The following is a 24,894-nucleotide window of genomic DNA, read 5'->3' as shown; positions in this document are numbered from 1 at the left end:
AGACTTCATATAATTGGAATCATTCAATATATCCTCATTTGTGGCTTCCTTCTTCCATTCAATGTTGTGATTACAAGAGTCATTTGTGCTATTGTCTGAAATGATAATTTATTCATTCTCATTGCTGTATAGTATTTCATTATGTGAATATACCATTATTATTTATTTGACTACTATAGATATTTAGGTTGTTTCTGGATTTTGGCTATTATAAGTCACACTGCTATACACATTTCGGTATTTGTCTTTTAGTGACCATTTCACTAAAACAGTAATTATACATTTCTGTTGGGTATGTACTTAGAAGTGGGATTGCAGGTCATAAGGTATTAATGTTTTATATACTTAAGTGTCTATTTTATCCTTTGGAGTTATAAAGCTTAAATGGAATAAGTAGATTATTTAGCCTTATGACCATTTTAAGTCTCATCATAGCAACAGATCCTGAAATAGAGTATTACTAACAAAAATGCAGATCTAACATCTAGACACAGAATTACATGAGATTCACTTTATAACTAAATTTGGTTTTGATATTTGAGTACATATGTACACAAAGAAAGGAACAACAGACATCAGGGCCTGCTTAAGGGTAAAAGGTGGGAGGAGGGTGAGGATCGAAAAACTACCCATTGGGTACTATGCTTATTACCTAGATAATGAAATAATCTGTACACCATACCCCCATAACATACAATTTACCTGTATAACAAACCTGCACATGTACCCCTGAACCTAAAATAAAAGTAATAAATAAATAAATAAATAAATTTGGTTTTGAAATGTCAAAGTGATGAAAATAGTCATTCATTCCTAGAATTTTCCCAAGATGAGAAGAAGAAAGTTATCTGTTCCCTCATAGTGATTACCTAGTCACTTTCACAGATCAGATTCAAATTGTATCTTTGGAGGAAGTTCTGTGATGTTCTGCTTTAAAAAAAAAAAAGCAGGCTTGGAAAACATATAATGAAAGGTAGTTCTGTAGGCTGGCATTTTTACATTTCTCTTGATATCTTTAAATACAGGCTAACTTTATGCACTTAAAATGTTACTCAATTTATATAAATGTTATGAGCGTTAATTTTTATTTAGAAAAAATTGACTAATGACCAACTGAACCTCTCTGATATTACCATGAAAAGAAATTCTGATTCAAAATAGAATGATCTAGCCTTCTGAGTAGAACAATAATTTATTTTGCCACACAGAGGTATCTAAATATATCATTTTTAATTAAAAGTAAAATAACATGATAAAATCCATTTGGAACAGAATCTGAAATAAAATGTGACAAGATAATGGACAAAGACATCAATCTCTTAATATGTCCAAATTTTAAAATTTAGCAAACTAGTGGCCTTCAATAGGATTTAGCATTAGCAAAAACTGTTTTATATTTAATGTTTTCTCATTTGGTGTATTTTCTATGCTGAATAATGGTAATGCCATTAAACAATGTTATCCTATAACATTCCTTAAATTTTTTTTTTCTTTTTTTTGAGACAGTCTCATTTTGTCACCCAGGCTGGAATGCAGTGGCACAATCTTGGCTCACTGCAACCTTCACCTCCCAGACTCAAGTGATCCTCCCACCTCAACCACCCAAGTAGCTGGGACTACAGGCACTTGCCACTATGCCTAGCTAAAGTTTGTATTTTTAGTAGCAATGGGATATCACCATGTTGCTCAGGCTGGTCTTGAACTCCTCAAGCAATCTACTTGCCTCAGCCTCTCAAAGTGTCAGGATTACAGGCATAAGCCACCATGCCTGGCTAATTGTTTTATTTTTTAAGTTGGGGAAAGAATGTTTTGATATAACCACAGTGATAGGGACTACAAAAAAATGAGTAAAGAATATGTTTCACAAAAAATGTTTAGTAATATGTACAATTCTCATAGTTATAATTTTTCAAATTTAGTTTTTAATTTAATACAAAGTAGTAATTGATTTCAAGTTTCTTTGAAAATTCCACATGTATTTTGTGTGTATTTTTCACAAGTGACATTTTCGACCTTTTGGAGTAATTGGGTTGGAGTCAACTTAAATAATTTAAGAGTATGTCCCATTGAGTGCTTACTGTATCATATTCGAGACGAATTATGAACTCTAATCCCTTCGTCTAAAAAAGTACCACAGGCAAAGTCCTATCATTCTACTTCTCAGCCTATTATAAGGCCAAAGTTTTAAAATATTATTAGATCTTAGTAAAATTTTGATTGAGCAAGTTTAATATGGAGAATGTGATTTAAAAATTTCTGTTTAACCTTTAAGATGATGACATTGCACATTTTCTATTAATATTTGGTTCTAATAGTTTTGCGAGTATTTTGCTCAGTGGTTTCCAAAAGTCTACTAAATTTGTTAGCAGTAATTATTTTTGGTTTAAGGAAACAAAAACACAGAGACCAGGAGCTTTTGATACTGATAAAAGACATACACAATTTTATTCTGCATTATAATAAATTTAAATAGCAATACTCTATTCTGTTGACCTGAGGAGGAATAAATGCCTGAAAAGTGGTTTTATTGTTTTTTTTTTTTTATGAAGTAGAGAAAATCTGAACTATGCAGAATGAATTTGACAAGTACAATGATATAGTGTAATATTGTTTCTGTTGGTTTTTATTTTTTTTTGTTGGTACTGTAGACAGCTTTACCAAATAGGCATTAAAAAACAAATTAAATATTATCATGTAATTAACAGAGTATTTTATTATTCCTAGAATAGAATATGGATATGCTCATTTTTATAACACTCATATTTATGAAAATTTAATTTCTTTTGATTATGCAGTCCCAGAGCCAAATTATTATACCACAGCCAAATTTGTTGAAAACCGAATCAAAGTTGAGCTTTGAGTACAGCATCATCCATTGTTCACCATGTGGATTTTTAGCCATTTTGATAGCATTTACACTGATCAACACCGTTAAAGCCTGTCTCCTCCGTGGACCCTTCCTGGAGTCTACTCAATAATGTAATACATTAGCTGTAGAAATATAGGGATGAATGGAGCAAATTCCATTAAATGTTATAAATATATAACTGGATGCATGCAGAGGAAGGATATCTGGCTTTGGGGAAATCTGGGAAAGCTTTGTGGAGGAAAATAACTCTTTAGAAATTTCTTAAAGAGGCAGGTATAATTTGGATTGGGGTTTTCTGTCGTGGGCTTTCCACTAAAATAGGGCTGCTGTTCTTTTTACCTTCACATCTTCCAAATGGCTATCAGGAAGTGTCAAACTAGGTCAAGATGGCCCATGTATTACATTATTGAGTAGACTCCAAGAAGGGCCCAAGGAGGAGATAGGCTTTCATGGTGTTGATCGGTGTAAAGGTATCAGAATGGCTAAAAATCCACAGGGTGAACAACAGATGATGCTGTACTCAAAGCTCAACTTTGATTGGGTTTTCAACAATTTTGGCTTTGGGATTATAATTTGGTGCTGGGTCTGCATAATCACAAGATATCAAATTTTCATAAATATGAGTGTTATATAAATGAGTATATCCATAGTCTATTGTAGGAATAATAAAATACCCTGTCAATTACATGACAATATTTAAGTTGTTTTTTACTGACTATTTGGTAAAGCTGTCTGCAGTACCACCAAAAAAATAAAAACCAACATAAACAATATCATACTACATCATTGTACTTGTCAAATTAACTCTGCATACTTCAGATTTTCTCTAGTTCATTAAAAAAACAAAATAAACAATAAAACCACTTCTCAGGCCTTTATTCCTCAACAGGTAAATAGAATAGAGTATTGCTATTTAGATGTGATAACAGGGTGAATTTATTCTGTGGCCCACAGGGAGTCATTGATCACGTCTTTCCAAGGGAATATTTATTTATTTTACTTTCAACTTTTATTTTACAATCAGGGGTTACATGTGCACATTTATTACAAAGGTATATTGTGTGATTCTGAGGTCTGGAGTATCAATGAATCTGTCACCAAGTAGCAAGCATAGTACCCAGTAGGTTGTTTTTCAGCCCCTGCTCCACTTCTTATCTCTTCCCTCTTGTAGTCCTCAGTGTCTATTGTTTCCATCTTTAATTCCATGTGTACCCAGTGTTCAGCTCCCACTTACTTGTAAGTGAGAGCCTGCAGTATTTGGTTTTCTGTTTCTGTGTTAGGTCGCATAAGATAATAGTTTCCAGTTGCATCCATGTTGCTGCAAAGAACACTATTTCATTCTTTTTTATGGCTATGTAGTATTCAATGGTGTATATGTACTACATTTTTTAATCCAATTCACGGTTTTTGTTTTTTTATTTTTGTTTCATTTTGTTTTGTTTTATTGAGACAGGGTCTCACTCTATTGCCCAGGCTAGTGTGCAGTGCTGTGATCTCAACTCACTGCAGCCTTGACCTCCTGAGTTCAAGTGATCCTCCCACTTCAGTCTCTGGAGTAGCTGGGACTACAGGCATGCGCCAACATGCTGGGCCAATTTTTGTATTTGTTGTAGAGATGATGTTTCACCATCTTGTCCAAGCTGGTCTCGACTCCTGGGCCCAAGCGACTCACCTGTCTTTGGCCTCCCAAAGTTCTGGGATTACAGGCATGAGGCACAGCACCTGGCCCCAATCCCACTATTGATGGGCATGTCAATTGATTCCATGTCTTTGTTATTGCGAATAGTGCTGTGATGAATATGTGAGTGCCTGTGTCTTTTTGGTAGAATAATCTATTTTCCTTTGGATAGATAACCAGTAATGCGATTGCTAAGTCGAATGATAGTTCAACCTTTAGCTCTTTGAGAAATCTCTGAACTATCCTCTGTAGCAGCTGAACTAATTTACATTCCCACCAACAGTGTATAAGTGTTCCCTTTTCTGAGAGAATAATTTAATCAGAACAGTACCTTAAGATGCAGCTTTAATACAGTTCAAGTACCTTAGAAAGTAGAGTTGAAAAAGGGAGTTTCTGATTAGTTTCTTCCTGTTTTCAAGCTTGTTGCCTTATGTATTGCACCCTCTTGTGGCCAAGGCCTGCATCACAAACAAAGTTAACATGGTCACTGCAAGCTACATCACACCAGCACTAAAAGAATTGGAAAAGAGGTAAGTTTTAATCATTTTAAACAAACTGAGTGGATCCATGGCATTGTTTTTATTTTATATCCAAGTTTTCCTTTTTCCTCTTTCCACCTGCTGCAGTGTGGAAGATGCTGGCATCACAATCATTGGTGAATTGGGATTGGACCCTGGTCTGGATCACATGTTAGCAATGGAAACAATAGATAAAGCCAAGGAAGTGGGAGCCACGGTGAGCCCAATTTGTACCCAAAGGCAACATTAAAATGTCTAAATTCTTGTGTACAGAATCAAAGTATGAGTTATAATATAGCAACACCTTTAATCAAAGTTAAAGATTTTTTTTTTTTGAGACTGAGTTTTGCTCTTGTTGCCCAGGCTGGAGTGCAACGGCACAATCTCGGCTCACTGCAACCTCCATCTCCCAGGTTCAAGTAATACTCCTGCTTCAGCCTCCCAAGTAGCTGGGATTACAGGCACGCACCACCATGCCCGGCTAATTTTGTATTTTTAGTAGAGATGGGGTTTCTCCATGTTGGTCAGGCCAGTCTCAAACTCCTGACCTCAGGTCATCTGCCCCCCTCAGCCTCCCAGAAATTTTAAATAATATCTTATAACTGCAAAAATATCCATACAGGAAAACAATGTCCAAGTCTTAGGTAGCAACCAATTTTTGGAGAAACAGATGCTACTATAAAATTTTGGCTTAATACAAATTTTAGACTACCTTGAAGATTCTGTAATAAGATTTGACTTTTAAAAGTAAGAAGAATCTTTGGGTATCAGCAATCTGTTGATATGAAATATCTTTTATGAAATAGTACCTTTGGCGAGGTACTATTGGGTGTAAATGGGATGATTCAGATTGTTTTAGGTTTTTTGAATGTGTGTGTATATATATGTATTAAAATTATATATATGTAAATATATAATTTGAATACAAAAGTTAGTAGGAACTGACTAAGCAGAATTGAACTAAGAGTTGGATTTTTAACTGAACAAAATGTTAGTCACTATTTTTACAGTTTTTTTAAAAAAACATATATATAAAATTAACTGTTATTTAATCAAATGGTACATGCTTTGAAGATGTATTTTTGAATGCCTTAGTAACTTTAAGAATGAAAAACTGTAGCAAGTTTACTCCATTCATATCATTGTCTTCAATTAATTACTTAGACATTCTCTAAGTTGTGAATTCTTCCTTATTTATTGATTCTTTAATTTATAGATTGAATCATATATTTCCTACTGTGGTGGGCTTCCAGCCCCTGAACATTCAAACAATCCATTGAGATATAAATTTAGCTGGAGTCCAGTGGGAGTTTTGATGAATGTAATGCAGTCTGCCACCTATCTGCTCGATGGAAAGGTGAGGAATCTTATCCAAGCATAGTGATATCAACCTGCAATAACAGCCTGAGACAGTCTAAATACTCCCTGATCCCAAACCCTTTAATAATGGTGATGCTGCCTGTCTCCATTATCTCCTCCTGTGTTGTTTCCCAGTGTATATTTTCTGTTCTATTTAGCACGGTATCCTTGCTGTTCCTAGCAAAGCCTGTGCCTATTCTTTGCCCTAGGCCTTCTTGCAAGTTGTTTCTGCTATTCAAAAATTCACTTCTCTATATATGTAAACACTGGTTATCTCTTGATTTATTTCAGCATGACAAACATTTTCTGAGTACCTACTATGTGCTGGACTTTGGGCAAGTTACCCAAGACTGTCACAGAGAATGAAATTCATGACCTCAGAAAGCTCACAGCTGGACTGGGGATGGGGCTCTTGGAATGGAGGGTTTGGTGTGCTGGGGAAAGAAACTATAATTTCTTCCCCAGCTGCCATGTAACAGAGCATAAGAACTCTCCAAGTTTAATATTATTTTCATTATTTTACAATAAGAAAGCTATGGCTCAGAGAGCATGTCCAAGGTCATTTGGCTGAGATTCAAACCCAGGTCTAACTAACTCTTAAGGCTTTTTTTCTCCTTTTGCCAGATTGCCTAATGGCTGGAAAGACAGACATGGGAATAAGTAATTATAATTTAATAGGGAAATTTCCAAAGTATGTTAAAGTGGCTCAGAGCTACAGATGGGAGAACAGTTTAATTGGCCTTGGTGAAGGGGTTGGGGGAAGGAGGATGGGGAAAAGAAAAACTAGTGGAGAAGAGGATGTGCTTGGCCTTGAAGGATATGAGGGTGCCAGCTAGGCAGGGATGTTAGCACTCATGGTATGACAGTTTTATAAGGGGAAAAATCAGGTTTAGGGAGTTAAGATAACAGCTACACTTAAAGAGATGGCAAGTGACAGAGCCAGTATCCAAATCATGTCTGTCTGACTTCATAGTTTATGCTCATAGTTTGGAGAAAAATGAAACGAGACTCAGAGTGCCTCTTTGAATTGTGTGTTGTAGGCACCTCATTCACCTTGCCCTAGTCCTGGCCCTGCAGGGAGTGATGAGTAATATGATCACATAGATGTGTCTTAAAAAGATTATTTTAGCATCAATATTTTACATTGTCAAGGTATTTGTGAATCGAAATGTATTTCAGGAGTAGAGAGAAAGAATTTCTTAAGCAACAAGGTGAATGCTGTTATTAGCCATGGTCTTTTGTGCCTGTGATATAGAGCATAACTCATACTTGGCTTGGAATTACAAGGGGAGTTTAAAAAGTACCAGCGCCTCATCCCCAAAGATTCTGATTTGCCTGGGTTTGAGGATTTTTTAAATCTTCCTAGTGATTCTAATATGCAGCTGAATTTGAGAACAACTGATTTAATGATCAGAGAATCACAGCTGCACTTAAAATAGTACTAAACAAGCAGGACACTTTAGCTTGATGCCGGAATGATGTGTGACATGTTTCAGGATAATAAACAGGATCAATGAGTTCTGGTCTAATTCCTGGCATCCCTCATAACATAGCCAAAGACCAGGCAGTTGAAAAGATCTACCGGATGTCAGTTTCCTGATGTGTAATGTGAGCACTGATGTTCCATCCAATTCTTTAATTCTATGAATCATGAAGGTTTGGACCAGAATCTTAGTCTGATGTTTTACCAAGCACACATCCTTTTACATGCTACAGCCTATCTCCTATTGCATTCCAACAGCTCCTTTTACCTTCTGCAATCTTAAGAGACTGGCCTATGTTTGGTATAAATTAACATGTGAAGGCAGGACAAATTCTTGCCTCAGTTGAGTAAAACACTTATTTTTAGGAGGCCTTATAAATGCTAAAGATGGTAACAACGAAAGGGTCAGCAGAGTGCAACCATGTAAAAGAAAGAGCAAGGAACTTGGTATCTGTGGGCCTGGCTTTGTGCTCTAGCTCTGCCATTACTGGTTGTGAGCTTTGGGTTCCTTGTCTGAAGATAAAGACAATCATGCCAGCCTTCCAGTGTTCTTAGTCAGTGAGGTCACATAGATTGCAATCTGCCTAACAGCAGATTGTCAGCCATGTAATAAATCTAGCAAATATTAGCTACATAAGGAAATTAGTGGTTGTGAGAGTTTAAGACAAACAAGAGGTTATTTTCAGGTAGCAGAAGTTGTATTTGTTGAATTCGAAGTTCTCCTCTTTCATCCTAAATGTCTTTTGTAAAAATGAGTGCTTTTTGCATCTCTCTGACACTGGAGGATACCAAGAGAAAATATGACACTTTTCTTTGCTAAAATGATACTTTTTTCAAGGTCCCACCTGCGTTTCCTCTTGTGGATGAAGCTTTTTGTGACCACTCCAGCCTCTGTTCACTATTATTTTGCCTGAACTGAATCAAAGAATCAGACACTTTGTTTGTCTGTGTCTTAAGAATTTTCTAGGTGCTGCATTATTCAGTCAGTAATTCAAGTGTATCAGTCTGTTTCTCAAGCCAGATTGTTGAACAACTTAAAACCTCTCTTGTATTCTTGCCCTTCACTCCCTCTGCCATCACCACCCTCCACTGTGGAGCGGGTCTTAAGTAATTCACAGAATCATAATGGGAAACCAAGTCACCTCTCTGACTTCTGCTTGAATTTGAAGACTTAAACTTTTCCAGAAATTGGTCAGTGGCCTATGAATTTGAATGTGTCTCATTGTCTTACATCTTTGTAGTAATTTCTAGCCACTTGTACTATTTCTAACTTCTAATTTGATTCCTAACAATTCTGATTTTCTTCCACATATTCGGAGACAGTGATTTCATCTTCTCTTAGTTTCATTCCCCTCACAGTGGTGGTGTACTTTTTTACATTGTTGGCATTTGGGAGTGATATGGCAGAGCTTTGCCATCATCTTCTGCAGTGTTTCCCAGTCTAACCTGGCAAAACATGTAGTCTAAGTGAGAAGTGTGCTTGCTCTGCAAACATCGCTTTAAGATAAGTTTTCTAGCCCTCTATCCATTGCCTGCCACCACCTTGACTGCAGCACCCAACCCTTTGGAAATCAAGAGCTACCACTATCTTCCTTTGCCTGTACCAATTCTTTATGCAACTTTCAGTGCATCCCAGGTGGCATAATCCAGAATGCTGTACTTTGTCAATATCCCTTTCAAAATACTGATCCAGAAATAAGCATGATTAAGGGGACAGTGTAGTTGAAGGAACACAGACATTGCAGTCAAATAGAACTGGGTTCAGATTTGCCTTTGGGTGACTCAGCCTCAGTTTTCACCTCTGAAAAATGAGTTGTTTCATGGATTAAAGATAATGCCCAGTACAAGGCACTGGGCACATAGTAGGCCCTGAAAAAATGATTGTATATTTCCTTATTAGTTTAGTGATCAAGCTTACTGTGATTATTTGAATATATATGATATATTTATTCAAATATAACAGTGATTCTCTCTACTTGGGAGATTTGTATTTGTGTTTGTGTGTATGTGTGAAAGAGTTGGACCTAGAGAAGCTTGCAACAGCAGTGAATAATGAGCCTGAGCATTGTCAGAGCAGAAAGAAATGTATATTCTCTGCAAAACAGACAAATATGTTTCTGTTGTCATTCAAATTATTAATAAAATAATAAACAAGAAAGAACTTATTGTTGAACTACATTATATACCACTAGAAATACAACTACGAATGAATATCAAATGACAATGATTACCCAGTAATTTTTGGGTCAGGTTGCTTAGCCACCTGCCATTCTCACTAAATGAATCATTGCCATTCAGCTGACATTTCTCCATCTTCTTTGTAAGGATTTCATGATAGACTTATGAACTTGCTGCTTTATTTATGATTGGTAAGCTAGAATATTGTGGTCATTATTGAATTTTTCTTTCAGAAATTTTCCTGACTTTCAAACAAGCAAACAAAACTTAAGAATTGTCATGGGTTATAGAAATGAGATGGGTGTGAAGACCCTAAAAGTCAACGTTTGCTTTTTTGTTTTTAAGAGATGGTGTCTTGCTGTGTCGCTCAGGCTATTCTCAAACTCCTGGGCTCAGGCCATCCTCCTGCCTCAGCCTCCCGAGTGAAGTAGCTGGGATTACAGGTGGGCACCATCATGCCCAACATTTGCTTTCTTAGATTTTTTCAAAAATTTAGAATTCTATTAAATAAACTGGTTTTAAAGAAGTAGTTCAGAAATCATCCCCCCTTTGGAAATGTTTACTCTGCAGTCTAGTAGGGTTCACAAGAAAATTAAATGGAAGGCATTCCTCACATCCTTCATTCAGATTTTCACTTTTGAAATTTTAAATGGTGCTTGGCACTCTCCAAAGTGAGTCTCTGAACTGAAAAGACTCCAGTGGTCCTAACATTGCAGTCAGCATAGCCCTTTTCTTTCTGGGGCTTCATCCACAGATAAATGAGTTTCCATTTTCTCTCTCATACAAAGGCACGTTCAGAACCCATCTACTAATAAGGCATGAGAATCATTAAGTTTAGCCAAAGGCCTCTTCAGGCAAATCCTGTGAATCCACCTTAAAGTACATTGGCAGCTCCCTGGTACAGTGTTATTTTGTGCAGCTTTAGAGAAACTGGTCAGAAATTGTTTCCAGTGGTACAATAAGGATAAAATTTAGTTCCACCAGCAGCAACAACCAGAATTCTCAGACCTAATTTTATCACTCCAGAATGCTTTCCTTTATCTCAACAATAATAATAAGCCAATAAACTAGAAGAAAATTTAGTCTTTTAATTAAAATTAGAGACAAAGAAATCCTTCATTGCATTTTGAGTATGTGTGATGGGGGTAGGGGTATGGGAAAGAGAAGTACTGAGATATCAAAAGATTTTTATTTCATCACTCATGTTATTCCCTTCACAATTTGTGCGATCTTCAATGCATAGATAGTAACTGCTCAATAAATTTAGCTGTATGAATGAAATGTATGTGACTGATGCCTAATGTGGCATTTAGAAGGCTCATGAAAGTAAAAGAAAAGAATGAGAATATTGATTGTTGTTTGAGCATAGAAGCCATTTAAATAATTATCTGTTGCTTTTAGCTTATTTAAGTTTATTTTTTAAACATTTTTATATAAAATAATTTTGTTTATTTTTTAAACATTTTTTATTTTTAAATATTTAGAAAATAAATTTTTTAAAAATTAAAATGTTTATTTTAAATTTTTTTTCTAAATGTTTATATTTTTTAAAAAGGCAAACTCTAGTGGGAAATAATTTAGTGCCATTTTATCCAGGGGAAGGAAAAAAATTGAAAATAAGACCTTATGTTTAGAAAAACTAAATGTTTTAAAGTCAAATTTTAAAGCTTGAGAGAAGAATTGCTTTGTGAATTATGATATTAGTAGAACAGCTTAAGTATAGGATGATGATTATGGTGGTTTCATTATTTTTATTTTTTTTTTCAAATTTCTGTTGCTTTCTTTGTTCGTATAATGCAGATAAGCCCTAAAAGAAAGGAACAGCTGTAACCCCATGTGTGCCTTCTCAATGTTCCTCAGGTTGTGAATGTTGCAGGAGGCATCTCCTTTCTTGATGCCGTTACGTCCATGGATTTTTTTCCAGGATTAAATTTGGAAGGCTATCCTAACAGAGACAGTACGAAATATGCTGAGATTTATGGCATTTCTTCTGCTCACACTTTGTTGCGGGGGACACTGAGATATAAGGTAAGCAGCTGGACTTTAGATTCAACATGTTGCCAGTTGTGATGTAAGTGATGTGTACACTTAATTTTTCTTAGTAGTCAAAATAATTAAGATGATAAACCAAGTTGGAGTCTATTTTTTCAGGAATCTTATGATTGATTGAATATTTTAGGAGACTCACCTCAAAATAAAAAGATAATTAATTGACTCATTAGGAGTTGGGGACAGGCAGGGCTTCAGGCTTAGTGAGAGTTGGAGATCAAGTGACTTCCCCAGGACCTGACTTCTCGTAACGTCTCAGCTCTTCTTTCCAGTATTCACAGGAGTTTCAAGTGCTGTGCGATGGCAGAGTGGTGGCAGTGCTCCCAGCCTCTCAGGATCAAATTCAGTGGGAATAAAAAATGATACCGTTCTAATAGCCAAAAATACGATTTTTGTCTCATTAGCTCCCTAAGGTCAGTGGGATAAAATGTGCCCATCTACTTTGGCCTATGTTATATGTCCTAGAACTGGAGATGGAGTCAATGTCATTAAAAAAACATGGACTGGGGCGGGAGGAAACGGACGGGATGAAAGGGGCTTCCCCAGAGCAAATCCAAAATGTTTTTAAACCACAAAATGGGGAGTACATTCTAGGAGCATTAATGCAAATGTCCACTACACATTTATTGATCACAAAAAAAGCAGTTACAAGTGTGACCTAATCAAGACAACTGGTGTAATAGTTTTCTAGCATAATATCACAAATTGGGTAGCTTGAAACAATAGGGGTTTATTCTCTCACCATTCAGGAGGCCAGAAGTCTGAAATCAAGATGTGTGTGAGTAGGGTTGGTGCCTTTTGGAGGCTTGACTTTGAGACACATCCATCCAATTTGTGCATCAGTTTCATATCACCTTCTTCTGTGTGTCTCACTGTGTTGCATCCTCTTCTTATTAGGGCACTAGTCATTGGACTTAGGGTTCACCCTAAATCCAGGTTGATTTCATATTGAGGTCCTTAATTAATTCTATCTGCAAACATTCAAGTGAGGCCATATTCTGAGGCTGTGGATGCCCATGAATTTGGCGACAGGGCCCTAAACTCAACCTAATGTAACCAGCATACCTAAAATACATGTATTTCTCAGGATCAGAGACCTGACTGCAAATCTGTCTGTCTTGTGAGATTTCCTGGCTAAGGCCAGAGAGGGGATTTGTCTCATGTGTGTTATCTAGTATTCTCTAATTATCTTTTTATCTGGAAGATGTAAGGCACATGGACCTGTCAGTGATGACCCTTCAATCTTGTGCCTGCTTTTCTGTCGTTCTCTTATCTTTTTTTGCTGGCTGTTCCTTTTGCCTGGAACTTTTCCTCCAGGTATTTGTATCATCCTCCTTCGGGCTTTATTCTTTTCTTCTCTGCAGCCCTGCCCCTGGTAACCATGGTTTTATTCTCTATCTCTGCATCTTTTACTTTCGTAAAAAAAAATTCTGCATGTAAGTGAGATCATGCAATATTTTACTTTTTGTGTCTCACTTATTCCACTTAGCATAATGTCTTCCAGGTTCACCTGCCTATCTGTTCTTAAAAAGAAAACAACCACTATATTTCTTACTCTTGAGAGCTTCTGTTACATTTATGGGCACTTAGCATTTACTTCTCAGCATTTTAAGTTATAATTTTATGTATATTTTTCTTATCTCCCAAAAGAGATTGTAAGCTCCTAGAGAGCAGGTGCTTGTACTCCATGAATATGATTTTTTCATTGCCCAGGAATCAAATGAGACATCAGTGATAATGTCCTACCGAGATCTAGGAGCTATGGCTCTTCTACCAGCCTTTAGGCACAGTAGAAATTCTAGTCTGAACTTATGCATACTATCCCCAGCTCTGGCAGATTTCTTGATCTATTTTCTTCAATTTGTTCAAAGAATATGAGTAAAAACTTTTTTTTTTGGCCAGCAGTTAGGATATATAGCTTTCAGTATAGTCTTTTGACAAACATATAGATCCAGGAATGAAGGATTTTAATAGATTTAAACATTGAATAAAGGTCTCAACAAGGTGTGCGAGTGGGAGCCATCCCCATGGATTCCTTGAGGATGGAAGATATCACAGTGTTCGTAATCATGAGGGCCACCATCCTGGGCAATGCCAGCAATCCATTGGTAACCCTAAAATTCTTTCCAGTATTGGAGATGAGATACCATCATTCAAATATGACAGAGAGGCCTTGACCACTCTCCTTCTCTGCCTGCCTGTCACCTGCTTGTCCTTCTAGACGCAGGTTAATAGCACCTTCCTGTGGTATCCTCCCTAACTCCTTCCCCTTGAACCACCCAGCCCCATCTATGTGAGTTCCCCTTCTTTTGTGCTCCCACAGCTATGTTTTCCTCTAACCTAGCACCTATTAATATAATACTGTACTACAATTTAGTCATCAGTGGTGATGCATTTTTGCTTACCATGGACTAGGCATTATTTGCTTGACTTATCTGACCCTTCTGTTGACTGCAGTTTCTGCATGGATGAGACTGCAATTTTTTCATCTCTGTGGCCTCAGTCCCTAGCACAAGTCTGACATATGGCAGCAGTTTGCTAAATGCTTATTGATGAATGAATACATAAAATAAATTCATTTCTAGGGGTCAGCATAAAAATATATTTCTGAGATTAATAAATAGCTCAGAAATCAGTATTTTAGATGTTGGATAAAGGGATCTCTAGCACCTATCAGGTCCCAGAAGCGAGCTAAACAAGCTAGTGATATTACTTTTCTGTTTCTCCTCTTTGAAGTATATTTGCATTTGAATTAGAGCAAATGAGAATTCTTTTTTTAGTAACCTTTGAACAGTTTGAACAATATAACCTTTAGAAATGGGAAAATTGCTAGTTGGCCAGACATTCAGTAGTGAAATATCTGACGTTACAGGAACTATTTTATATTTTAAAACCTCTGTTGCTCCCTAGAATTATTTCCCTCTCTCTCTTTTCTTCTCTCTCTCTCTGCTTGAGCAGTAATTGCAGATAAGATAAATTTCTTATCTTAGCCTTCTCACCCTGCTTCCCATTTGCACACTGGGGAATAAACCATTATGGTCTTTCTTCACTTCATCTATTATTCAGAATCTATTTATCCAGCCATTTGTTCTCTTTTAGGGATTGGAATGCTGAATAATGGATTGGAATGTTGAATAATGTTGAATACCTTCCTATGGTATCCTCCCTAACTCCTTCCCCTTGAACCACCCAGCCCCATCTATGTGAGTTCCCCTTCTTTTGTGCTCCCACAGCTATGTTTTCCTCTAACCTAGCACCTATTAATATAATACTCTACTACAGTTTAGTCGTCAGTGGTGACGCATTTTTGTTCACCATGGACTAGGCATTATTTGTTTGACTTATCTGCCCCGAAGTGGGCATTGGGATGAAGAATATGCACACAAATAAAATATAATATAACATAATATAAAGATACAATTTCCCTGCTTTCAATACCTTCAGTACAGCAGCTGAATAGACAATTAATTATGAGCTGCATTAATTGCCATGATAAAGGTATATACAAAATGCTACAAGAAGGGAGTGCCCACTTGTGAGTGCTAGGGGACTCACAAGAGGTGCTAAACTGGGTCTGAAGGGAGGAGAAAACATTTCATAAATGAAGAAGTGTGGCCACAACATTCCAGTTACAGGAGCAGCATGTACAGAGGCCCTGGTTTCTGGAAGAACACAGCACATTTGGGGAATAGTGAAAGTGGAGATCTGTGAGTTAGGCTAGATGAGCATGTTGTGATGGGTTTTATATAATATACCAAGGACCTCAGGTTTGCTTTGTAGACAATGAAGGACATATGAGGAATTTTTATCAGAGTGATGATATCATCATATCTTAGAAAAATCTCTGATTCCTACCTCTTTTTCTGCTCTCCATATATCTTGGGGGTGGTGGCTCTAATTAGTAGATTGGATTATCTGCTTTTGAGGAGGATATTCTTACAAGTTCCTCCTTCCATTATAAGAAAGAGCTCAACTGACTGTTCTGTTAAATAATACTCTGCTGAGCTGACAGCATATAACACATAAGAAAATTTGCCCTTATGCTGCCCGAAAATTCCATTCACATGTTACCCAGAAACAGAAGTAAAGACCTAAGTTTTGCAAGGTCTTTTATGTAAACCAGTAGAATTGTTATGACACTATTGATCTCAGTTTGAGCTTGAAATTGGTTGTATCTATATCCTCAATACTTTTTTGGTGGGTTGTGGGGAGGGGTTTCTAGTAAAGACAGGAAAACCTGCTAGGCAAATTCTAGAAGAGCTGTAGTACTCATATCATCAATATAAACAGTTTTCTAAATTAGTTACAAAGATATATCCCTCTTTTCAAAAATATTTTAAGTTTTTTCATTGGAAGAGAAAAATTTTATATACTGCTTATTAATTCTTGTTTCAGGGATATATGAAAGCTTTGAATGGATTTGTAAAATTAGGTCTTATAAACAGAGAAGCGCTTCCTGCCTTTAGACCTGAGGCCAACCCTCTCACCTGGGTGAGTGACTCCGAATTACGTTCTATCTGCTCCTTTTCAGAAATACCTTCTGAAATGGTCGGGGGTGAACTCTGCTTTGGATCTGCAAAAGATCCTATTTTTTAGCTTATGAGCAGGAAGATAAATCCTAACTCCAAAGCCCCCTTTCCCTTCACTGTTGTGGAAGAATGGAGAGGGTGTGGGGCTGACACATATCAGGCCTGTTTCCCGCAGCAACTTATACCATTTGACTGCTCCTTGAGCTGTGATAAGAGATGCCTTTGCTCTCTGCATTAAGCTCTGAGCTATTCCAGTTGTCTAGGTGGTGACCCAGTGATGGGAGTCACTTGGACTTCCTGAAAGTGAGAATCCAGGAGAGTTACTAGTGTATTACAGAACTGGATTTCCAACCTCCAAATCTTGTCAGTACTCTCATTTGGTTACTTATAACCATGAGTGATTTGATTTTCAGTTACCGAGCTTATGCGTCTATCTCTTGTTGTACCAAAACCTTAAGGCCTCAGAGTTGGAATGAACTTTGGAGGCTTGGAACTGAATGCGAAGTAGAGCTTCTACTGACTGCTCAGAATTAACTCATTACCAGCTGGTTGTTCAACTTAAACTAGTGTGCCTGTATTCCAGTAGAAATGCCAGAAATGTATCACAAGGAGAAAAGGACCAATGTTGCTAATTCCATTACATCTCAAAAAAAAGTTTTGGTATTCTTGCTAGCTAGTTTCTTTAAAAAATTATTTTTGAATTCTTTATGGGTACATAGTAGGTGTATATATTTATGGAGGACATGATATATTTTGAAATAGGCATGCAATGTATAATAACCCCATCTGGGTAAATGGGGTATCTACCACCTCAAGCATTCATCATTTCTTTGTGTTAGCCAGTTGCTTTTACATTCATTTTTTTTGTGTGCATTTGTGAACCTTTCCAATCTTAAGTTTTACCTTTCATAAACTTACTTGTTGGGTAGGAGTGAACAAGTATCTGCAGAGAGAACCTGGGGTTGAGGCAGCTGGTTTGGGAAGGTTGGTGCAGACATTCTTAGGGATGGTCTTTTTTGTAAAGGACCAGATTATAAAGGTTTTAGACTTTATGGGCCACACGGTCTCTGTCAGTACCACTCAGTTCTCCCATAGACGATACATAAACCAATGAGCATGACTGTGTTTCAATAAAACTTTTATTTAATAAAACAGACAATGAGCCAAATTTGGTCTGTGAACCAGTTTGTTGACTCCTGATCTAGAGCATAGCTTTTCCTTTGGGAACCTAGAAAAAGTCTTGTTTTGAAAGTAGAAAAAACTATGGCTACTGTTTAAGTATTCTTCCTTTGAGATTTTATTACCTGCAAGGACTTTCTCATCTCTTGAACCTACAAAAGAACCTGGGTTGCTACTGGCAACCACTGCAGTAAGCCTTTTCCACTTTATCCTGGTCAAAATGGACTGCTGGAGGGTAGGGGGAGAATGGATAAAAACATAGTGATAGAGAGGATATACAAAGACAGGGAATGTGCTGGTAAGAACTGCACCATCTGTTTTGTGTTGAGTTGATCTTAAAACCCATTTTTATTGGTGAAATATCGTTTGGAATAGCAGCTATTTATTGATGTGTAGGTATGCAGATGTGTGTATGTGTGTGTATGTGTTACAATTTCCTATTTCCAATTATTTTTAATTTTAAAATTTGAGGTGTATTTGAAGTTCAGTGTTTTAGTAGGATAATTTTTCAGTCAATTAAAAAAAAATTTGTTAGGGACTTAGAAATATTGTATTTCTTTTTCTAACCAGAAACAACTCCTCTGTGACCTAGTTGGGATTTCACCCTCCTCTGAGCATGATGTGTTGAAGGAAGCTGTTCTTAAGAAACTAGGAGGAGACAATACCCAGTTGGAGGCTGCTGAATGGTAGGCACCCACCACTCAACTTAGAGCAAAATATACTGGATCAATGATTGCTAATTTCTACTCAGAAAAAGTTAAATATTTTACATTTGTCTTTGATTAATTCGTTGCTCTAATGTGGGTAGAGAGATTACCATGTGCCATGTTCATGTGGGCATAAAGAGTAGATAAAGAGAGGAGCTCAATGGCAATTAGAATTTGAGAAATGCTTATCTCGAAACACTTTACCACTCAGTTCCCAAGCATAGTGGGGTATTTTTGCTTTCCTGTAGGAGATTTGGAGTAGTCATAGAATATTACATGAAAACATTCTTTCATATGACCGCTGTGGCATCCTGCTGGTATACCTAATGTTGGAGAACTAACCTATAAATTAATCTCATAAAGATCTTTGTAAGAACATGGGATTACAATCCATCATCTCTGCCCTGCTCCAGGGAGCAGTGCCTGGGTGAGTCTGGAGAAGATTCTGAAGGTTAAAACATTGCTATTGTTATTGTTATTTTACATTTTAGGAGAATCCTACAACTTGAGTTACCACCTTGTAATTCTGCCCTTTCAAGATTAAATTCAAGGAGCTCCCTTTTGCTTCCCAAATGAGAACATGTATAGGACTTGAACTAATGCAGCCATCTCCTGTGCTTTTCAGGTTGGGCTTACTTGGGGATGAACAAGTTCCTCAGGCAGAGTCCATTCTGGATGCCCTCTCCAAGCATTTGGTCATGAAGCTTTCCTATGGTAGGCCATGAAGTATTAGCTAAATATACCTAAAGAAGAATCATAAGATAGAGTCAGTGCAGATAATCGTATTGGAGGGTTGGCCCCAAGCAGCAGGAATGGGAAGATGTGATATGAAGAAAAGGGCAATTGGACTATTTTTCCAGAGGGAGGAATTTGAGAATTATTAGGTAAAAATAAACTTAGTTATTATGGGAAAGGAAAAAATAGTTTTACTATTTATTTATTTAGTTAGTTAGTTAGTTATTTTTTGAGACGGTGTCTCACGCTATCACCAGGCTGGAGTGCAGTGGCTCCATCTCGGCTCACTGTACCTCTGCCTCCCAGGTTCAAGAGATTCTCCTGCCTCAGCCTCCCGAGTAGCTGGGACTACAGTTGCCTGCCACCATGCCCAGCTAATTTTTGTATTTTTAGTAGAGACAAGGTTTCACCATGTTGGCCAGGATGGTCTTCATCTCCTGACCTCGTGATCCGCCCACCTTAGCCTCCCAAAGTGCTGGGATTACAGGCATGAGCCACCGCGCCCGACATTACTTTTTTTTTTTAATGCATTAGGCAAATGCCAAAGAAGCATTTTTGGAGCACACTAAAAGGCCTCTATAGCAGCGCTTTTGTGTCTGTAAACAGGATATGGTGACATGAATCCGGATAAAGGAATGAGATCAGAGTTCTAATTTCCTTGAGGTTTTCACTTTGACTTTGGGCTAAAAAGCTGTGTAAATAATTGTCTAGTGATCATATATAAAAGGAGGGAAAACTTTTAAGACCAGAAGGGCAGGAGGAGATGACAGACAATATTTGAGTTGTAATGATAGTGGTATTTTTACTTATCTTTATTTGTTTTAAGGTCCTGAAGAAAAAGATATGATTGTGATGAGAGACAGCTTTGGAATCAGACATCCTTCTGGACATTTAGAACATAAAACGATTGATCTTGTGGCTTATGGGGACATCAATGGCTTTTCAGCCATGGCTAAAACCGTGGGGTTACCCACCGCCATGGCAGCCAAAATGTTGCTTGATGGTAAGTCTGTTCATTTGAGGTGTAAGCCTGTTTCTGTTTCACCTCCAAGCCATTTGGTGCCTGGACATCAAGTAATTGCTCTTGAGCGTAACACAGGCATTTACTAAAAGTGAACCATCTTAGAAGATCCAAGCGCGGACTGCCTGGGAGGTCCCCTTTTGATGAGTAAAGCATGTGGGCTTTGGAGATAGACCTGACTTCCGCTTCCGCTCAGTTCCAAGGTGGCTGAGTGATGGGCTGCAAGTTACTCAGCACCTTTGAGCAAGAGTTTCCTCATATTTAAAGTGGGTATTGCCATCCCTGTTTCAGAGTTGTTGTGACACTAACTGATATAATACATGAAGCTGCTACCTCATAGAGGGGTCCCCAGGGAATGGTAACTTCCTTCCTTTCTTTCTTTGGTTTTTGCCATGTTGGGAGTGATAACTCTAAAATAGAAAAAGATATTCACTCCAGATTCTCAAGAATATAGGTTAAGTTTTATTAGTCTTCATATCTCAGCATATTATTAGTACTCAATAAATATTTTAGACTAAATGAATAAAAATTTCATTCCTCCACTCTCCCTAGAAGATCACATAGACATTCAATAAGCATTGCCTCTGTTTGACCCTCAAGAAAGAATGAGGGGAGTAGAAAATATCAAAGCATATAAATGTGAAATAATGAAAAAAAAATGTATAGTAGCATATCAGCTAATGTCAAATTAAATGACCAACTTAGTTATTGAGGAATCAATGAAGAAGTAAGTGATAAAAGTTGGGGTCATTGTGGCCTCTAGTGAGAGTGCCCAGGTTCTGTGTTTCAGTCATACTAACAGGTGCCTGTGCCCATATAATCAAACCTGTTACAACTCATTCTGTTGGTGTCTTGCCTTTTTTAAAAAAAAATGACATTAGCAAGTTAAGCTGACCAGTCAGATTTACTTTACTTCTTACTTTACTTTGTTCTCTGATTGTCCTGGCAGAAATTAATGCAGTTAAGTGTACAAGTTCTGACAATATCCCTAGGTCCGGCTGTGCTTTCAATCTAAAATCAACTCCTTTTCCTTACAAAGTGTTGAATAAGTAATAATTTACTAAGGGACGTTTTTAAGCAGCTACTTAAAAAATGCCTAGGCCTCCAAGAATTCATTGACTCTGAGTTTGCTTCTTTGTGGAGACTCTTGATGGGGAAATTAACCTCTGACACAACCTTTGAAATGGTAATTACACATTTATTTTCTTCCAGGTGAAATTGGAGCCAAAGGCCTAATGGGGCCCTTTTCAAAGGAGATCTATGGACCAATATTGGAGCGAATTAAAGCAGAAGGCATTATATATACTACACAGAGTACAATTAAACCATAATTGGGAATTATATTTTGTTTTTTTCTTCCCAGGCAATACACCTCTGAACATGTGTGTGATAAATGGGTTTGCTAATGTGCTGTTTTAAAGTATAAAGCATAATATGTTTTGGTTAACACAATGTACTTTTTGAACTATAAATCTTTATTTTAATATGGAAATGTTTGGAACAGGAGATGCAAGCCACTAACAGAGAACTTTAATAATTCTACCCTGTATTTTATAAATACGTATGTGAAAGTGATGATCATGCTATTTGTTAATTTATTGTGCCACTTTTTTTCTTTTGTTTTTTTTTTGTTGTTGTTGTTTTTTGAGATGGAGTCTCGCTCTGTCACCCAGGCTGGAGTGCAGTGGCGCGATCTCGGCTCACTGCAAGCTCCGCCTCCTGGGTTCACGCCATTCTCCTGCCTCAGCCTCCCAAGTAGCTGGGACTACAGGCACCCGCCACCACGCCCGGCTAAATTTTTTGTATTTTTCAGTAGAGACGGGGTTTCACCATGTTAGCCAGGATGTCCACTTTTTTCTTAAATGAACATATTGTCTTATAACCAGCAAATGAAGTTTTACTTTTTTAGTCAGAAAAAATTTCGTCATAAAGCTATATTTTTATATTTTTAAAATTGATACAGTTAGATACCTTCAGATTACCTAAGTTAAGTTTTTGCCAAAATGCTATTTTATGCCCTTTTTGTAAAGTTATGATTTATTTTGTAAATATAGTTCCTTATAGTTTTCTCTTGAGTGTTTGGACATGAGAATAGATAAGATTAAATTACAATTTACAAGATCACTTCATTAGGCACAGGAAAAGTATTTAACAAAATTCAACACCCTTTCACAATAAAAAATAAAAAATAAAAAACCCTCAACAAACTAGGAATAGAAGGAAACTTCCTCAACCTGATAAAGGGCATCTATGAAGAACCCATGGTTAGCATCATACTTAATGGTGAAGGACTGGATTATTTCCCCCTGAGATCAGAAACAAGACAAGGATGTCTGCTTTGGCCATTTCTATTCAACTTGTACTGGACAGTCAAGAAAGGGCAATTAGGCAAGAAAATAAAATAAAAGTCATCTAGGTTGGAAAGGAAGAAGTATAACTAAATAGAGATGGGAGACGATATGGTGGTTTTGTGCATAGTAATCCAAGGGAAAACTATAGAAAATCCAAAGGCATGATTTATTAATAAATAAATTCAGCAAAGTTACAGGATACAGGATTAAATATGCAGAAATTGGTTATCTTTCAATATAGTATCAATGAATAAATCAAAAATGATGTTAAGAAAACAATTTAATTTTCAACAATGGTCAAGCTTGGTGGCTTGTGCCTGTAATCCCAACACTTTGGGAGTCTGAGGCAGAAAGACTGCTAGAGGCCAGGAGACCAGCCTGGGAAACAGTGAGATCCCATCTCTACAAAAACAAACAAACAAAAAACAACAAGCAAACAAAAAACAGCTGGATGTGATGACACTCATCTGTCGTCTCAGCTACTCAGAGGCTGAGGTGTAAGGATGGCTTGAGCCCCAAAGTTCGAAGCTGCAATGAGCTATAACTGGGTCACTGCAATCCAGCCTGGATGACAGAGTTAGACCTTGACTCAAAAAAAACAAAAAAGAAAAGAAAAAAATTGACAGCATCAGAAAGAGTAAAATACCAATATAATTGAGGGTCCAGAAATATTGATCACATTTATCATCAACTGACTTTTGAAAATAGTGCTAAGACAATTCAATGGGGGCAAAATAGTCTTTTTCATTAAATGATGCTTGGAAACATGGATATCCACATGCAAAATAATGAAATTGGACTCCTACCTCATATTGCATATAAAAATTAACTCAAAGTTGACCTAAGATCTAAATGTAAGAGCTAATATTGTAAGTATCTTCAAAGAAAACATGGCGTAAATCTTTCTGACTTTGAATTAGGCAATGATTTCTTAAATAAATGACACTAAAAACACAAGCAACAAAAGAAGAAAATAGGTAAATTAAAATTAAAACCATTTGTGTTTCCAAGGACAATATCAAGAAAGCAAAAATACAACCCACAGAATGAGATAATTTTTTTTAAAATCATGTATTAGTTAAGGGAGGAATTTGTATTTAGAATATGTAAAGAACTGTTACAATAATAATTAAAAGGCATATAATTCAATTTTTAAAAATCAACAAGAGATCTGAATTAACAGTTCTCCAAAGAAGATACACAAAAGGCCAATAAGCACATGAAAAGGTTCTCAACATCACTAGCCATCAGGGAAATGCAAATGAGATCTACAATGAGATATCACTTAACACTCACTGGAATAGATATATAATCAAAGTGATAATATCAAGTGTTGGTGAGGATGCAGAGAAATTGGAACCCTCATGCACTGTTGGTGGATACCCACGTGATATAAAAACAAATGTCTACACAAAAACTTGTGCACAGATGTTCTTTGCAGCATTATTTATAATAGCCCAAAATTGAAACAGCCCTAATTTCTATCAACTAACAAGTGAATAAACAAAACGTGGCATATCCATACAAGGAATATTATTCAGCAATAAAAAAAGAGATGAAGTACTGATATGCACCACAACATGGAAAAACCTTGAAAACATATCAAGTGAAGAATGCCAGACATGAAAGGCCACATATTATATGATTTCATTTATATGAAATGTCCAGAACAGGCGAATATATATAGAGAGAAGGCAGATTAGTGGTTGCTTAGGCTGAAGGGTTGGGGAGGACAAAGGGGTGACTGCTAATTAGTATGGGGTTTCTTTTTTGGGGTGATGTAAACGTTGTAAAGTTGATTGTGGTAATGGTGGCACAACTCTGAATATACTAAAAACCACTGAATTGTATACTTTGAATGTTTGAACTGTGTGGTATGTAGATTTTATCTCAAGTTGTTATAAAAAATTAAATTACAAATGCAATTTGTTTGTTTGCTTCTTGGGGAAAAATCTCTTGCCTTTAGAGATACAAAGTAAGCACCTTTTTAACCTTCACAAATTGTGCTCATATCCTGGCACGTGAAACTAATTCTGCCCTTGAAAGAAGCAGGTACTACATGTGAGGTATATGACAGTTGAGAAAACATCTCCTGCTATTTGAAAACAATCAAAATTGATTAAGGCCTGGTCCCACCTGTCACAGATAATATATGGAGATCAATAATCTATTAATAAGTAAAAACATTTTGTTGTGGAATTTTTCTTACCATGACATTCAGTTCGACCCAATTGATTA

General features: G+C 36.8%; 1 protein-coding gene and 1 pseudogene across 5 annotated transcripts in view; one reads left to right on the top strand and one right to left on the bottom strand.

Moving 5' to 3' along the window:
* AASS (aminoadipate-semialdehyde synthase) overlaps positions 1-24,576 on the top strand; it is a 70,701-nt gene extending 46,125 nt beyond the window's left edge. Inside the window, exons 16-24 of one of the 5 annotated variants that reach the window (NM_005763.4) lie at positions 4,967-5,077; positions 5,174-5,282; positions 6,282-6,422; positions 11,946-12,113; positions 16,530-16,625; positions 18,413-18,528; positions 19,175-19,263; positions 20,111-20,287; positions 21,518-24,576. In NM_005763.4, coding sequence (NP_005754.2) covers positions 4,967-5,077; positions 5,174-5,282; positions 6,282-6,422; positions 11,946-12,113; positions 16,530-16,625; positions 18,413-18,528; positions 19,175-19,263; positions 20,111-20,287; positions 21,518-21,636 — 1,126 coding nt within the window. In that variant the 3' untranslated portion in view covers positions 21,637-24,576. Of the gene's footprint in view, positions 1-4,966; positions 5,078-5,142; positions 5,283-6,281; positions 6,423-11,945; positions 12,114-15,233; positions 15,338-16,529; positions 16,626-18,412; positions 18,529-19,174; positions 19,264-20,110; positions 20,288-21,517 lie in introns of those variants that run through there. The other 4 variants (XM_011515725.3, XM_047419710.1, XR_007059980.1 and 1 more) reach the window with 4 other exon arrangements.
* Positions 16,344-16,405, bottom strand: RNU7-154P (RNA, U7 small nuclear 154 pseudogene; annotated as a pseudogene).

This window comes from Homo sapiens, chromosome 7 (genome assembly GCF_000001405.40).
Source record: "Homo sapiens chromosome 7, GRCh38.p14 Primary Assembly".
NCBI classification, from domain to species: Eukaryota; Metazoa; Chordata; class Mammalia; order Primates; family Hominidae; genus Homo; species Homo sapiens.
Note: the sequence above shows the minus strand (reverse complement) of the source record. Positions and strands in the feature narration are given on the sequence as shown.